At 45.5% G+C, this 16732-nt stretch overlaps 1 protein-coding gene across 1 annotated transcript in view, besides 4 other annotated features; it reads right to left on the bottom strand.

The window, feature by feature from the left end:
* MGMT (O-6-methylguanine-DNA methyltransferase) overlaps positions 1-16732 on the bottom strand; it is a 303743-nt gene that overhangs the window by 71035 nt on the left and 215976 nt on the right. The window lies entirely within an intron of this gene.
* Positions 6704-7204: an enhancer, noted in NCBI's record as "H3K4me1 hESC enhancer chr10:131491009-131491509 (GRCh37/hg19 assembly coordinates)". NCBI's record gives its function as "activates a minimal SCP1, AML or CMV promoter by ChIP-STARR-seq in primed H9 embryonic stem cells {active_cell/tissue: H9 hESC(primed)}" and the evidence as "EXISTENCE:reporter gene assay evidence [ECO:0000049][PMID:30033119]".
* Positions 7947-8814: an enhancer, noted in NCBI's record as "H3K4me1 hESC enhancer chr10:131489399-131490266 (GRCh37/hg19 assembly coordinates)". NCBI's record gives its function as "activates a minimal SCP1, AML or CMV promoter by ChIP-STARR-seq in primed H9 embryonic stem cells {active_cell/tissue: H9 hESC(primed)}" and the evidence as "EXISTENCE:reporter gene assay evidence [ECO:0000049][PMID:30033119]".
* Positions 14003-14502: an enhancer, noted in NCBI's record as "H3K4me1 hESC enhancer chr10:131483711-131484210 (GRCh37/hg19 assembly coordinates)". NCBI's record gives its function as "activates a minimal SCP1, AML or CMV promoter by ChIP-STARR-seq in primed H9 embryonic stem cells {active_cell/tissue: H9 hESC(primed)}" and the evidence as "EXISTENCE:reporter gene assay evidence [ECO:0000049][PMID:30033119]".
* Positions 14503-15004: an enhancer, noted in NCBI's record as "H3K4me1 hESC enhancer chr10:131483209-131483710 (GRCh37/hg19 assembly coordinates)". NCBI's record gives its function as "activates a minimal SCP1, AML or CMV promoter by ChIP-STARR-seq in primed H9 embryonic stem cells {active_cell/tissue: H9 hESC(primed)}" and the evidence as "EXISTENCE:reporter gene assay evidence [ECO:0000049][PMID:30033119]".

Genomic DNA, 16732 nt, shown 5'->3' with positions numbered 1-16732 from the left:
TTTCTGGTACAAGAGGGCCTCCCACTTATCACAGGTGAGTCTACTGATTGACTGTTATGTGTTTAGTTGTAGGGCCTATTTTAAAGATGCATTCTGTACAAAAGGACATCATATAAGACAGGGAAGTAAGTGATGAGCACAGCCCATTCCTAGCGCAGAAGTAAACAGGAGGTCTTCCTGGAGAAGGACGGGTTCCATGAGTGCTTGCAGGAGGGCTGTGAGGAGCTCTGGCTGTCAAGTCAGCAGATCTTTACTGCACTTTTACTGTGTGGTTCATAATAAAGGTGGACATAAATCTCACTCCTTGCTTTTATGCCTTCAACCCCATCCCAAAATGAATCCTATGTTTATGATCCTATTATAGGCCACCAACGGGTTCATGTACTAATGTCAATAATGTGAAGAGGAGAAAGAGGCCATTTAAAATTAAGTTAGGTTCCAAGTTACTTTCTGGGTGGTCGTAGGTATCTTGCTAAAACTGGATACCGATTTTTAACCGGCACGCTATGCCCTCAATATCTGGGGCTCAAATTAATGTCAGATCCTAAACAAAACTGCAAAGGTATTTACCATAGTATTTTAAAACACCCACCAAAAATACAGAGAACACTTTATGTAAATTTTCAACTCTTCCCCATAAGGACTATATATATTTTTCTTTTTAAAAATAATTGATTCTTAAAAATACAGGAAATAATGAAAATATTTTTAAAAGACAACCCAAATAGTATACTTGGCAGATCAGAAAGCCTTAAAAAGCCTATTTACCTCCCCCCTCCAAATGTTCAAATCATTAAAAGGAAAATTGTATTTTATCAACATTTTAACATATCATTAAAAGTCTCTACTATTTGACAGATGAAGATAAAAACACCCCAAAACTATAGATGAATGATCAGGTCCCTAAAGATTCCAAAACAATTACAGGATGCAGAGCAATCTAGTTAAATTTTATTCAAAAGCTTACTGCACTTGTGTTTTCTTTTATTTTTCTATCAAGAAGCCCATGAGGCTTAAGCACAATTCATTATGTATGAGACCCCACTTGCGGTGCCTGACTGTTGATTAATAGCAAAGTTTGCTGTATGTACATTTGCAACATTAGATGCATACAATATGCTAACTTATTCTTTCACTGAAACTAATTATTTACAAAAATGACTACGTGAGACTACAATTTATTAAATGCATGCATCCAGTCTCAATTTGGCCCCTAAAGACAGCCTGGAATGAAGATCTTTTACTTGATGTGACAACTTCTAGAAACGCTATTATTAATATTGTAAATGTGGCAAATAAAGAGTTCAAATAGCCTTATGTCTGTGTTGCACATGCCTTCCACCACCACGGCAGTGAACAGAGCTGCTTTCTAACGTTTTACACACACATGAGGGCACGTTCTTCTTTCCCAGCTTAAATTAGTTGCTTAGAAATAAAGTGCTTGTATATCTGTAAAGATATAAACTTTTAAAGAGTCATTCCATTAGTCTAAACAAATTGTTGAAAACTTGCACAGAGTAGCTATTTCTCAAAGGATCTTTGAGGCTAGGCAACTGTGCATTATTAAACAGTTCTCTTCCCCAGCCCTAGAGAAGAAGCCACGTCGATCTATACACAGAGATCAACACTGCATGCCTGGACATGGGCTTCAAATGGGGCATCTGGTCAACCGCTGGTGTCTGTCATGCAAACGCTATGACGCACACAGCCCAGAGTAGCAACCGCCTGCCCTGAGTACCCTCTGCATTCTGGTCTCTCTCTGCTGGGCCAAACTGCACACCTTGCAGTTTCCTCCTCAGATGCCCTCAAAGCCTCTGTCCTGGCTTGCCCTGCCCGGCTGAGGGTGGGTACCCCTGCAGGCTCTGGAGTGAGAAAGAGAGGACTCACTCTTTCCTGCACAGACCAGACATGGAGAGTCAACGTCCACGTCCACAAAAGGGGACAACAGTGCAAGTGGCCGCTACAGGCTACTGACCGCTTGGTGCCACTGGAGTTTTCCAAGGAAACCTGAGGCAAGCACCTGTGTCTCAACCAAGAACCTGCTCTGGGATGTAAGAATTTAGGGGCAGAGAAGAACTGAACCACCAGTGAGAGTAGATGAGACGGGCACAAGATGACCGACTTTGTGTCATGCAATTTCACATCCTCACTCTCTCAGGAACACAGCCAAGGTCAGCCACAGGCAAGGTGGCTGACTCCAGAAGTTCCAGGCAACATGGCGCCTCGACGTCACATCTCCATTACACAATATGGCACCTTGGGCAGGGGTACATGAACACGGTTGAGGATCAATGCACTCTGGGAAAACAGCTCGATGTAAGCTCTCGCACAACACTGCACAGCTGCTATTTACTGAGTGCCTAACATGTGCCAGGCATTCCATTATAAGCTGTTCTATTTATTCCTCCCAAAGACCCTTGGGGGAGGTACCATTATCTCTATTTCTAAAACAGGAAACTGAGGTCCGGAGGTTATGTAATAACAACTTACCAAACGCATAAGGGACAGACCCAGGAATGGAATGAAAGCCTGACTCCAAAGACCTTAGTCTGGGGCATCTCCGTGGAATAGAAGCACTCCAGCTCTCCTCTTTGAAATGGAAGCCAGTGGTCACTCCTCATCATGACAAGTCCACACGCCCACATGCTCTGCCCTTGATGGCATATATTCTACATAGAATAGCATTTTGATTTACTTTCTTTTACTCTAAGGTTACTTCTATGATCTCTATGATCTCTTCCCCAATCCACAGGACAACAATCCAGGCCCACTGCCCCATTATTCAAAGACAATGGGAATGAGTAACCAACCTACTTTCTATTATACACTAGAAGCTTCCAGAAAGAGATACTAGGTGTCCACATCATACAGTCTCAAGCTCCCAGACTGCTGCCCAATTGCTCTTAAAGGAAGGTCAGATTTACATTTAAACACATCAGTGACCTGTCCACACAACACACATCAGTATTCCACATAGGCAGGAGACCTGGGTCCCAGAATGCCCCCGGCCTGCCGTGTCCCCTACTGTCAACCCTCCAAAGCAAGGCCTGGAGTGATTCAGGCCACAACACTGCACTCAATGGCTTGACGAATGCACAGGTGAGGTGTGGACTGGGCTGCGTAAAGAAGTCCAACCAAGGGCTGCCCAGGAGGGCTGTTCCAGTGAGCCCTGGGACAAACAGCCAGGCACCATCCTGGGGCTGGTCCCAACTCTGCCTCCAGCCCTCGGCTCCGACCCAGCACATTCCCAGTGCTCAATCCCTGCCCACTGAGCGAATGGGTAGACAAGACACAAGGGTGCTGAGGCTCCTCCGGAGCACGTGCACTGAAAATACACCTACATTTCAGATTTCATTTTTCCAATGAATAATGTGCTGAAAACCATTCCCTAGGGGGAAGAAAAACTCACAAAGATTTTCTAAACAGTGAAAGCTACATTTCTCTGCCTTTTCAGATTTTGTGGTAGACTGCAGAATAACAAAGTTTGTGAAAGCCCAGGAAATGGGCATCACTTCCAATTTTGCTTACTTTGATAGGACTCTGCAGTCGGAACCTGGAAATGCTGCAGGTTTGAAGACACAGAACTTGGTGGGTTCTCCTCTGTGTCTGTTCCATTCCCCACCCCCTGATATAATGCAATCGACTTCATGATGAGATGAAATGAGAAAAATGAAACGAAGCAGCAAATCCTTCAAGCACCACCTTCATGCTGTAACTGTAAATAGTCTGTTGAGTTCCAGCAGCCCCACTCGTTACACTAAGGCATCTATGCTGTACCCTCATTTCTCCTCTAGGCTTCTGGGCCTCTGGGGAGGAGCCAGGGGGTCATTAATAAAGGGGGAGTGAAGAGGTCCCAGTGAGGAAAACCTTGCCTCCCCCCATGACACACAGCAGACACCAGCAGGCCCTGTCTGTAGGCATGCCTTCTCATCTACTGGAAACATACCGTAAGACCGCGAGGACAAAGCCACTCCTGGGAAATGGAAGCCAGTGGTCACCCCGAATCATGACAAGCCCACATGCTGTCACATGGAACAGCCCGCCCCTCCCCCATCCACCGGAAGAGCAAAGTGCCGAGTACCCCAGAAGCAGAGCACCTGATAAGGCCTGCAGGCTGTGCCAGAGCTTGGGAAGCCACGCCCGCCCTCTGAGCTCCTCGCCTGCACGACTGTTCCATCTCCCAGGCAGGCAGCGGTTTCTGATTTGTCGTCTCTATTAAAGAACAGGCTTGCTTTCTCCTGTGAGCCCATGCAATGAGAAATAATACTTTTGGTACCAACAGGGCTAAGATGTACCTACCCCTAATTGACACAATTCATCTCCACACAGCTTACAGACTAACTCTGTCATCATGCAATTCAGAAAAAATTATTTTTTGTCTTAGCAAGAGAATATATCGTAATTTAAATTTAACAATCATAACTAAATGTTCTGAAGACAATACTTTTCTTTCCAAAAGGCATGGATTATATGAGGATTGACCTCCACGGGGCTCGGTCCCATTAACTTGTATACTTGGGCTCATTAATAAATAATTCTGTCACTAAATTACCTGTCTTGTAAATTGGTTTGTACAGTTCTAAATAAATAATAGATAGTTCCCTATTATGAAACACAGTGGAGTTTTTAAAAGAAAAGCACAGCTTATAGAATAGTACTGCAATTTTATCCGGGAACAACTTTCTCCAGCTCACTTCATAGAAAGCCCTTGTTTTTCCTGTTGATTGCTGCAGCTGGAACAAGTTAGCTGGTTAGCAGAGTTGAGAATACTGCATTTAATCTCAGACAAGTATCTTGACTATCCATCAGTGGCCAAAAAAATCCTCAGCAACTATTAAATGGACAGTTAATATAATTGTATTTTAAAACACTGAGGTCATATTTAATTTTGAATTGAAACTCTTAAAACACGCTTTCTGGCAAGGATATAGAGTAATAAAACAACGTTAACTACAGAAAAAAATCTGAAACTCACATTATTAAAATAAATCTTTTTTCCAGAGTACTAATATTTGCAAGAAGTAGATTACAAGAAGCAGAAAACATTTGTACTTTTTCAACAAGTGTCGTCGCTGGCACTGAAACTCAGGGTTTTCAGTTTAAAGGATGAAATCATGCTGGAGGCCAGAGTTCAGATGCTGTCCCCCTCCCTTTCTCCTTTGAGCTGGCTGGTCTCCCGGCATCTTCTGTCTTCCTTCCAGGGTGCTCAAACTTGGTTCAGCTACACCCTCAGGTCTTCCAAGCAAAACTCTACCCAGCGAAGAATCCAATTATGTTCCAAAGCAGGAAAGAAAAGTAACTGGGGCTTGGAAAAGTCTCACAAGAACAAACAGGGGGGCTGGAGAGTTCTGAGAAGGGAAGGGGGAGAAAACATTTTAGCTTCGAAGCTAGCCAATTAAGATTCCCTTTAGGAAGCACCAATTTCTACTCAAAGAAGGCTGGCAAGTCCAATTTTGTATGCCTTTTTCCTCCTCTTCAAAAATCAATACAGCCCTCTGGGAGGCTGTCATGCTGCAGGCAGGCAGGTCTGTGGACCGTAAGCTCCATGCCTAGGCCAGGTCTCAGCCCTCCCAGGGGAAGGCAGGAGGTGGTGTCAGGATTTTCCAGCAAAACAATGCAGCATTTATTTCCAGGTGTTCTCTGACAGCCAGGACAAGGAAGAAGCCCCGGCATGCAAACCCCGGAGCCAGGGGTAGTGTTGCCAGGAGCCCTATGCCTTGATTTCACCCCCCAAACCCTTCAACTGGTACCTCAGAAGAGCAGAGGTGAAAGACAGGGAGCCTCCCGCTGAGAAGAGCTTCTGGGAACTCAAAGGCGCCATTCAACTAAGGCAACCAGCTTTATTTCCGTGGCACTTGATGCCCTGGGCTTCTCCCACCCCATCTTGGCAGCCAGCACGTCCTCTCCCTGCTGCCTGGACGTGGGGGCCACCCAGTCCCCAAGGACAGACTGTGGGCCTCAGGCCACCTCATTCTGAGCCACCTGCCCATGGGAACTGTGGAAACTGTCATCACTTTCAAAGTCTCACTTTTTTTTTTTTTCTTTTTAGATGGAATCTCACTCTGTCGCCCACGCTGCAGTGCAGCGGCATGATGTCGGCTCACTGCAACCTCCACCTCTCGGGTTCAAGTGATTCTCCTGCCTCAGCCTCCTGAGTAGCTGGTATTATAGGCGTGCGCCACCACACCCTGCTAATTTTTGTATCTTTAGTAAAGATGGGGTTTCACCATGTTGGTCAGTCTGGTCTCGAACTCCCGACCTTGTGATCTACCTGCCCCATCCTCCCAAAGTGCTGGGATTATAGGCCTGAGCCACCGCACCGGTCTCTCCTTCTCTTTTAAGCTCTGGTCCCAAACTGCTACCCGCTTCCCCAGCCAGGCCTCCCCCTGAGCAGACACACTGACCAAGAGAAGCCTCCACCTACTGCCTGGACATGCAAACCCTGCCGCAGCCCAAGGCCTTGGAGAGCTAGAGTTATGCTTCCGGCCAACGCTGAACCCTTCTTAGCTTAGACCGGGGTAACTTGGGGATCTTTTGAAAGGAAAGGATTCTTAGATGCTCAAGAAAATTCCAGTTTGAGAAACTTGAAAAAGGGGACTTCTTAAAAGAAAATACCTTTCAATTGCAAATTAATATTACAGAAGTGGCATTGACCTTTATAATAGTGAGATATTCATCTTTAAAAATGTTAACTGCAATGAAAACACTTCTTGGAAAAGTCTCCCAGACCCCACTGACGCCTGGAAATCCTCCACCTGTTTGTATTCGCATCAGTTCTCCTTTCCTGTGGTCCCAGGTTTGTTAACATGGACTTACACGACCATCAGACAGGTACAGGTACAAGAATAATCCATCAGAGATTAAAATCCTCTAGGCAATTCCATTTTCTACCATGTGTTAATACTGCACTAAAAGTACATTGGTGGATTTTTCTGGATAAAGACTGAGTGACACTTATTCCTTGCCCTGCTGGGCTTTGCCAGCGAGTGGCGTCCACTCTACAGAACTTACCGTGGTGCTGCGTCACTGCCCACACTGGGAACGACGGATGAGAGCAACCGCGAGGTCTGGGGCTGCAGCTGAGGGTGGCAGCTCCCTCCAGGCAGGCTTGCATGGACACTGCTCCAAAGACAGCCTGTCTCCCTCCATGTACATGTGAAGTGACCTCAGTTTGTCACTTACAGGCCAGTTTGACCCTCAGAATGCACTCTGAGCTTCTTTCCCCTTCCTTCCACTGCAACCCTGCAGCTGAGGCCCCAGATGCCATGGCCACGCTGGGCCCACGCCACACCCGGACCCACAGGACCTCCTCGCTGCCCTTGCGTCCCCATCCCTCAACGATGGGGCATTCCACGTCACCACTTGGCTCATATCTGTTGCCACATGGGATTTTCAAGGTGTCCATAGTCAACATGCCTCCACATACCAAACTGGCCCACCATCTGTTTTTGTAAATAAAGTTTCATTGGAACACAGCCACGCCCATTTGTTTACTCAGAAAGCAACGGAGCTGAATAGCTATGACAGAGATCTTCTAGCCCACTAAGGCTGAGATAATTCTTTACCACCTGACCCTGCATAGAAGGCGCCTGATAGGCCCCTGGTCTGGACTCATACTGCCCCGAGCTTTTCTTCCCTGCCTGGAAGCCGCCGCTCAGGCTCCCCAGGTGTGTCCTGTCATTCCTGATTCCTGACCACTCTCTGCTGGTCCTCCCACCTGTAACGCTCCAGACCTAAGCCCTTCTTCAAACCCTAATTCAACTCTGAGTCTGTATCATCTCCTCTGCTAATTCTATTTACAACCACCTCAGACCATATATTTGGGTGGTATCAAAGCATTCAGTCCCAAAAATCATGGCAGCTGCCATCCCCTGAGCACCCACTGGGTGCTGGGCACTGTGCTCGGTGCCCCCACGTGCACCGCCCACGTCTAGTTCCCATAACAAGGTAGGAGGTGAGTATCTGGATTCCAGTTTGATTAACGAGAAAACCAAAGTGCAGAGGAGTGAATAACTCCCAAGGCCATGCAGCTAAGTGGCAGGCACCAAACTCTAGAGCTTTAACTTTAGCACCTGAGTGGTGGCCTCTCCAACGTGGCTTCTAACACTTTCAACCAGGAGAGGGCACGGACACCCCAAATCCTCAGATGAAGATGCCCCTGGAACAGAGAACTCAGGCCCTGCAGGATCCAGCCCAGGAAGCTGCGTTTGAATTCCTCACTGTGGGCTGCCTCAGGGTGCACCTTCGCTCCAGTGTCCATGTGGCAGGCACACTCCCGGGCCCCTCCTTCATGAAACCCCTGACACCTGTGCCACTGCCAGGCCTGGCTTCTTTGTGCTCCCCCCGGCCACCGCCGTTTATTTTCAAGCCTCTCTGCTCCCTCCTCCATGATGTTATTTGAAACCCACAGCCCCAAGGAACCTGTCCTCTTGAAGGCTGCTCAGGAGCCCCAGTTATCCGAGCTAACACCCTCTTCTTACTCGCGATGCCTGCACTGCCCAGGTGCACACGCTGCTTCAGGACACTGCCTGGGGCTGACGTCTGGGCCCAGCTGCCTGCTGTGCTCTCCGCCTCTCCCAAGTCCTGTTGCCAGCTCCTCTTCTTGCTTCCACTCACCTCACCCTGACTACTGGACAAGGCTCTGTGTGGACTGGGACAGTGTTAGGTGTCACTTTCTGAGGACCGGCAGGGGACAGACACAGCTGTGCCACACTGGGGCTCCTGCCCCATGCAGCTGCCTATCCAGATCAGCCACCTGGAACCTGGTCATCACCTCTAACTCCTTAGGCAACATCAACGTCAGCCTTCTCCCCACGCCGGGAACAGCTCCCAGTTCCCACTGCTGCCTTCAAGTTCTCCCGCACTCCATGTCAGTTGGTTTCTGCTTTGCAACATCTCTTATTTCCATTCCCTTTTGTTGCCACTTCTGAACAACCTCCAGAGCCTCTAAACTGGCCTCTTCACACTCCAGTCACATCCAGAGAACCTGCCAAAACCAGACAAACCTTCCTAAAATCCTGCCTGGTTGTCACCATCCTGCTCACAAGCCTCCCCGAGTCATCACCACATACTCAGAATCAGATCCAAACTCTGCATCCAGTGCTGGGCACAGCCCTGCAGTCTGGCCTGGGGCTCAGGCTCTGTCCTGGCTGAATCCCAAGCTCCAGCCGATCTGGCCAACTTGCCTCCCCCTGACCTTCTCCCCTTTTCCCCCAGGCCTTCCCACTCCTGGGACTTTCCTCCTCTTATCCCTGTACCTGGAATGTGGTCTCCCCATCCTGGCCTCAGACAAGTGCATGGCACCCACGGCTGGCACCTTTCCAGCTCTCCTGCGGCCAGAGGGTCACCTCAGGACCAGCATGCGTGCAGCCCAGCCTCCCCTCCATGTGCCACCCTTAAGCAGCATATGGCACCTCCAAATGCTCTGGGTATGGTCCTGTGGTTTCCACAGGTAAAGCCACACCTTTGGACATCTCTATATTACTCACAGCAATGGACGCCGCAGTGCCTTTTGTACATACTCATGCCACAAACAGCAAAGACTGATGAATTATTAATGAGTGAATAAGTGAAAACCTCAAAGGAAGGAAGGTGGGGGCAAACGGGTGTTACTGAATATACTTAAAATGATTCAGAATTTACTTTAAAATTGACAAAATATAACTACTTTGCTATATTCTCTTGCCTATTGTACTCCTAGACTTCTTCATCCATTCTCTAAAAGACATAATTCTACAACTTAACCACTTAAGACACATGGAAGTAAATATGTGATATAAACTACCGATGTTTTAGACTGGGCTTCTACTGCGTGTCTGTTTTGATCAAAACTTGAAATAGCTAGGAAATGACTGTCTGAATAAGATCCAAAGGACAGAGGGGGAATTTCATGTTTTTCAGCTTTCGGTTCCACCCAGAGCCTAGGATTCAACAACAAACATTCACAGACCTAGGGCCTATCTGAATGAGTTTACGACTTTGGCACACAAGGACTCAATTTTAATATCTTGCCATCTACATGGCCAACTCAGTTAATTCCAGTATTACGCAGTTTTAGTTTTATCACGGCCTATCATCTCTCTTTTCCCAGGCATTGTTTTGTTGGTCTAGCCCAGAAAGCACTGGGAAGCCAATGATTTGAAACCCCACACAGCAGCATGAGGCAATTCAGAGCAAACTTGTCAAGTCTAGTCTTGGCCAAGCTGATCAGAGTTGGATCAAGAGTTAAGCCAAGAATCTTCTCAACAATTCCAACAGAAATGGCCCTTTGCCTGGGAGCATAATATTTTTATAAGAGCTGGCACAATCGACCAAGAAAACAAGCTATAAGACTACAGAGAAAGGGTGTGTGCTTGTGGTAACCGAAGGACCTGCTCCATCACACCACTGTCTTCTTGACAAACATTTTTAAGAATTAAAGTCAGAATCAAAATAAATATTTGCAACTCTCAAGCTACTATCTCCAGCACTTTTTTGTCCCCATGTTCAAGACTGAATGCCTTCCTCCTAATTATGATGTACATGATTGAAAAAAGTCACTCCTATCTCTAAGAATCAAACCAGAAGCTGGAGCTCTGTTGGGTGTGGAGCTGAACTCCTCAGCTTAGAAACACTGCAAACTGCCATGGCTTGCAATTTTCAATGAAATATTTTTATGGGACAAAGTGAAAGCTAGAAGTGACTGACTGTTGAATATTGTAAGAAACAAAGGACAGGGTTGGGCTGGGCGCAGTGGCACACACCTGTAATCCCAGCACTTTGGAGGCTGGGGCAGGTGGACAACTTGAGTCCAGGAATTTGAGACAAACCTGGGCAAAGTGGCTAAACCCCATCTCTACAAAAAATACAAAAATTAGCTGGGCGTGGTGGTGCACACCTGTAGTCTCAGCTACCCAGGAGGCTGAGGTTGCAGTGAGCTGAGATCTTGCCACTGTACTCCATCCAGCCTGGGTGACACAGCGAGACCCTGTCTCAAAAACAAACAAAAGATAGAAAAGAACACATTTTCTAAAAAAAAAACAAACCCATAAACAGAAAACCCACTACATGACACTTAAGTGCATTCTGAGCTGCAAGGAAATGATGATGTCCCTCAGGTCTGATGCTTGCCGTGTCTCTTAAAAGGATAGAGGCGTGCTGGGTTCCCTCCTTGATGATACAGAATAAAAACGTTGTTCTTTAGTTTAATTAGATACCATTTGTCAATTTTGGCTTTTGTTGCCATTGCTTTTGGTGTTTTAGACATGAAGTCTTTAAACTAAAGAGCTTCTGCACATCAAAATAAACTACCATCAGAGGGAACAGGCGACCTACAGAATGGGAGAAAATTTTTGCAATCTACCCATCTGACAAAGGGCTAATATCCAGGATCTACAAAGAATTTAAACACATTTACAAGAAAAAAATCAAACAACACCATCAAAAAGTGGGTGAAGGATATGAACAGAGACTTCTCAAAAGAAGACATTTACGCAGCCAACAGACACATGAAAAAATGCTCACCATCACTGGCCATCAGAGAAATGCAAATCAAAACCACAATGAGATACCATCTCACACCAGTTAGAATGGCGATCATTAAAAAGCCAGGAAACAACAGGTGCTGGAGAGGATGTGGAGAAATAGGAACACTTTAATACTGTTGGTGGGACTGTAAACTAGTTCAACCATTGTGGAAGTCAGTGTGGCGATTCCTCAAGGATCTAGAACTAGAAATACCATTTGGCCCAGCCAACCCATTACTGGACATATACCCCAAGGATTATAAATCATGCTGCTATAAAGGCACATGCACACGTATGTTTACTGTGGCACTATTCACAATAGCAAAGACCAAGCCAAATGTCCATCCATGATAGACTGGATTAAGAAAATGTGGCACATATACACCATGGAATACTATGCAGCCATAAAAAATGATGAGTTCATGTCTTTTATAGGGACATGGATGAAGCTGGAAACCATCATTCTCAGCAAACTATTGCAAGGACAGAAAACCAAACACCATGTGTTCTCACTCATAGGTGGGAACTGAACAATGAGAACACTTGGACACAGGAAGGGGAACATCACACACCAGGGCCTGTTGTGGGGTGGGGGGCTGGGGGAGGGATAGCATTAGGAGATATACCTAATGTAAGTGATGAGTTAATGGGTGCAGCACACCAACATGGCACATGTATACATACGTAACAAACCTGCACGTTGTGCACATGTACCCTAGAACTTAAAGTATAAAAAAAAAAAAAAAGGGCTACACATGTGAGTTTCCCAGACATGCCCACAATGAAAAATTTTGTCCCCTGACACATGCACAGTAAGGGAAACAAAGCAATATGGAGTAACTCAAGCTAAGGGCCTACGTGTGCACTAGGAGGACGGGGTGGAGCTACCACAGATTTGCACCGTATGCAAATAAGATGCCCAGCTCTCATCAGTTTCCTATAAAAGCCTTTGCATTCAACTGTAAAAACAGCAACCCTCTTCTGGGTCCCCCCTGTGCACCAGAGAGCTTTCTTCTTTTGCTTATTAAATTTTCAGTCCAGTGATACCCTTGGCGTCGGCGCTCCTTAACTTTCTTGGTCGTGAGACAAAGAACTTTGGGTGATACGTCGGGCTATGAGAGACTGCTACGTTGTGGTGCATTGGTGAGACATAACAATTCAATATATGTACCTAAGGTAACTGTACACCTGTCTAGAAAAATGAAATAAAAGTTCATCCCTATTATATATATCTCAAAAAGAAAAATTCCAAATGGATTAAAAAATAAATGTAAAAACAAAAAATAAAAATAAATTAAATAAAAAAATAAAAACGTTGTTCTTACCCCTTGGTTCAGCACACTTGCTGAGAACCTACTATTTGTGACACAGGGTTGCAGCGACTAAGGAGATGGGAGGGTGAGTGCAACAGAGCCCTACCCCAAAGCAGCTCAGAACTTCCTCTCTCAGCTGTGCCCACCAAGGATGGAGGCTGCATCCTGAGGACAGGCTCGTGGTCAGTCATGTTTTTGTTCTTAGGAGGTAGGCCTGAGAAGAACCCCCACGCCCTGCCCAGATCAGCTGACAGAAGATGCTGGCAACAGCTGCAGGCCCAGGGCAAGCACGTTCTGTTCTCACTTCTCTCCCGGCCTTCCTCTATCACAGCCTTCAAACTCATGACTTCTGTATTCTGAACCATCACTTGTTCGCATGATGTCACCTATGCCAGGCATTTAGGAAATACCGTCCAGGACAGGTGACCTCCTTAAATGGAGAAATCCTCATTTAAAAACAGCCCTGGCAGGCCGGGCACGGTGGCACATGTCTATAATCCCAGCACTTTGGGAGGCCCAGGTGGGTGGATCACTTGAGGTCAGGAGTTTGAGAGCAGCAGAAAACCCCATTTCTACCAAAAATACAAAAATTAGTCGGATGTGGTGGTGGGCGCCTGTAATCCTAGCTACTTGGGAGGCTAAGGTAGGGGAATCCCTTGAACCCGGGAGGCAGAGGTTGCAGTGAGAGGAGATCACACCACTGTACTCCAGCCTGGGCAACAAAGCGAGACTCTGTCTCAAAAAAATAATAAAATAAATACATAAATAAAAACAGAGACAAGGCCTCTGGTCTTATTTATGTGGAATTATCTTACTTGCCCATCTTAATGGCAGCTTGGAAGCTGATTTAGGGATCTCTTTTTTTTTTCTTTCCCCTGACTCAATTTATTAGCAATAGCATAACATTTTTTTTTTAACTTTGTTTAAAAAAAGTGCTTCTGTTCACATATCCACCAGTCTGTGCCCTCCAGTTTCTGTTTCTGCTGCTCTGGACATTAACTCCGAAGAGCTGCCAATTTTCTCAGAAGAGATTTAAATAAACTTCTGAAGCCAAAGGAGTAATTTTCTTTATAATTGACATTAAAAAGTCACATGAACTAGATGAAGGATGGCGGTTAAGCACATCTGCCACTGGGCATTGTCTTAAACTTAAGAATAATCAATGGCAAAAGGGAAGAAAAGGTTTATTGGCCAATCCTCAAAACTAGGGAATAATTAAATACAGTTGCACATAAATAAGAATATAAATAGAAACGTTTCTTATTCAATTACTTAGAAACCCAGAGGAAGATGTGGGCATGCAGACTATTCATCAGCAACAGACTTCACTTTCTGTGAGGTGTACCTGCCCATCTCCAGAGATAATGAATGGTTTCTTCATTAGACTTCTTGCAATGATTAGGTCTTATTTACATGACTTTCTTTGAATGAGCTCAAAGCGGAGTCAGGAACCTGAAATTCACTGTTCTGAAAACACCTAGGATTAACTCATTCACTGCACAAGCTACTTAACGAGTTCCTGTTATGTATCATTTAGCTACAGAGAACACAAGTGGGTGAATAAGAGAAGTGGGGCTGAGCCGAAAGGGCCCCGGGGAGAGGAGCCCACAGAAGAAGGTCTAGGACTCACCTCCACGGCTCGGGGAGGTGGAGGGTCGAGGAGGCCAGGAGGTGGCAGGCTCAGCGGAGACGTTAAAGGCACTAGACAGGGAGGGGAAGACAGGACTAGCCCCTTCCAGATTCACACTGGCTGCCTGGCAGAGAACTGGCCAGAGGGAGCCAGGACAGCTGCCCAGGCCAGGCAGGAAGTTTTGGAGACACCAGCAAGATTCTGTACTTGATCATCAGTAACCAAAACTAAGCAGTCTTGTTCAAGTCATTACATGCTCCCATTAAAGCTGCGAAAGTGTTCTTGTCCATCATCACAATTCATACATTTGACACATATGGCATATTTAAAAATCAGCAAATCTTGCATGTTTATCTGACTTTCAATCACCTGCTTCCAATTAAGCTGACCAACGACATTGGCTCAATCTCCTCACAGAACATTCTGGAAACCTTTATGTGATGCCACTGTCACAGGTTTACCAGGACAGGCACTCAAAAGCTTTTCCCACGTAGAATTTCATCAGCTACTCGGGCCTGTCATAGAACTGTAGCATCACATCAAGATGCAAATCGCTTAGAAAGAATCTGGTTCCTCCAGCAAGTTCTAGGAGGATGGCATTTGGATCTCCCGGATGTCTCTCGCCATGAACTGCAATTTTTACAAATCCAGGTGAGAAATCTAAGAATTCCTAACATTTATACAGAATTCTGCATTTCCTCCTGGCTGGTGATGTTGAACCATGAGAAAGGTGTCCTTGTGACATGGATCTGTCTCAGGGCTTTGGAGCATAACAAAAGTCTTGGGGAACCTCCTTTCCTGTGGATGTCTCTAAATGAGCTAGGTGGTGCTCATCTCAACTTCAAGGCTCCATTCTGATTTTTGTGTTTTCTTCCTTTTTCCTTTCAATGCTGTTGGCTGGTGTAGTTACCACATACACAATCACTTACGTGTATTCACAGACTTTATTAGATGTTTAAGAAATTATGAGATTTGAAAACACACAGAAAAGATATCTTTTGAGAAGTGTCCAATTTGGAGAGGATTTGTATTTGTGGAAAAAGAAAGTTGGTCTCACGCACATACAAGGCTGACAAATTTTCCCATAGCCAGAGACCCTCCCTGACTACCACGTGCTGGGATGGCCCCCCTGCATCTCCCTCTATCCCCAATTAATGTGGAACTAATTCGTATTTCAAACTTCCCATCAGCCAGTCTGAACCCAGAGTCTTCGGCAGTTATATTTCTTCACAATGCTTGATTTATGCACCCAAACTCTCCAACCCACAAATACAACACTAAAAAATGCAGACCAGGGATGGAAATTTGCAAGTACACTTGCTCATTCCACACTAGGTGAAGTGGTTTAGATAGCTGTCGCTAACACCAAGGGGTTTATTAATAGGCAAAAATTAATTGTATGTAGACTGAATTAATGAGATGGAAAAACATGCATATTTCAGCAAATACAGAGGGGACCAGCCTCTGCCGAGGCATCTGTAATGAAGTGTCTGGGCTGTGGGATGAGTGGGGAGCAGCTACCAGCAAGCCAGGGTCCTTTTGTGATGATGGGGGCTGGAGGTACTGTTAAAAAAATACACTGTGAAATGTAAACATCAGGCAACTGTTTTGAGCACAAAGTTGACCCCTGACACATCTTCTGCAGACTGCCATCTACAGATTTATAAATAAATGATTAGATGTAAAATCTCCAGAGGGCTTTCCTTTTCCACAGCAATTATAGGAGCAGATTATTACCATTCAAGTGGGGTTCCAGGGAAAGTTCCTTGACTGGCAGGAATCACTCACTGCTGTCCTCCTGTCTTAAGTCATCATGACAGGAAACCCAGTGTTCACATGTACTGTGAACATTTCAACAAGCCAAGTCAATATACACTGAATGAACACATTCTTGAGTTAAAATATATTACTGTCAATAAGAGGCTGAATTAAGAAAGTATGAAGTTTCAACTGTGATCAACGTCAGGAAGTTTTCCATATTTCATGGCTGCACGTTGTTAAAAGCTGCCATGTGTATGGACGCCTAGCACTCACCCGGGCATTTTCTCTTTGGCTATTCTTAACCAATTTTTTATGTTGTTCAAATACTAGGTAATGAGGCTAATCAAAGAACCATCAAATGAACAGTATCAAGTTCAGCCACATTTTTCCAGCCTAAGAGTTTCCTTTCTTTCCTAAATTTCAGGGGGAATATCACCTTTTGGCTTTAGGGCTCACTTTCATTACAAGAATGCTGCCCCCGTACTCCTACGCAGGCACTTGCACTGGAAATGGGTTTTCCAAGA

Source organism: Homo sapiens, chromosome 10, assembly GCF_000001405.40.
Source record: "Homo sapiens chromosome 10, GRCh38.p14 Primary Assembly".
Lineage (NCBI taxonomy): Eukaryota > Metazoa > Chordata > Mammalia > Primates > Hominidae > Homo > Homo sapiens.
The sequence above is the reverse complement of the archived record's forward strand: the minus strand, read 5'-3'. Positions and strand labels throughout refer to the sequence as shown.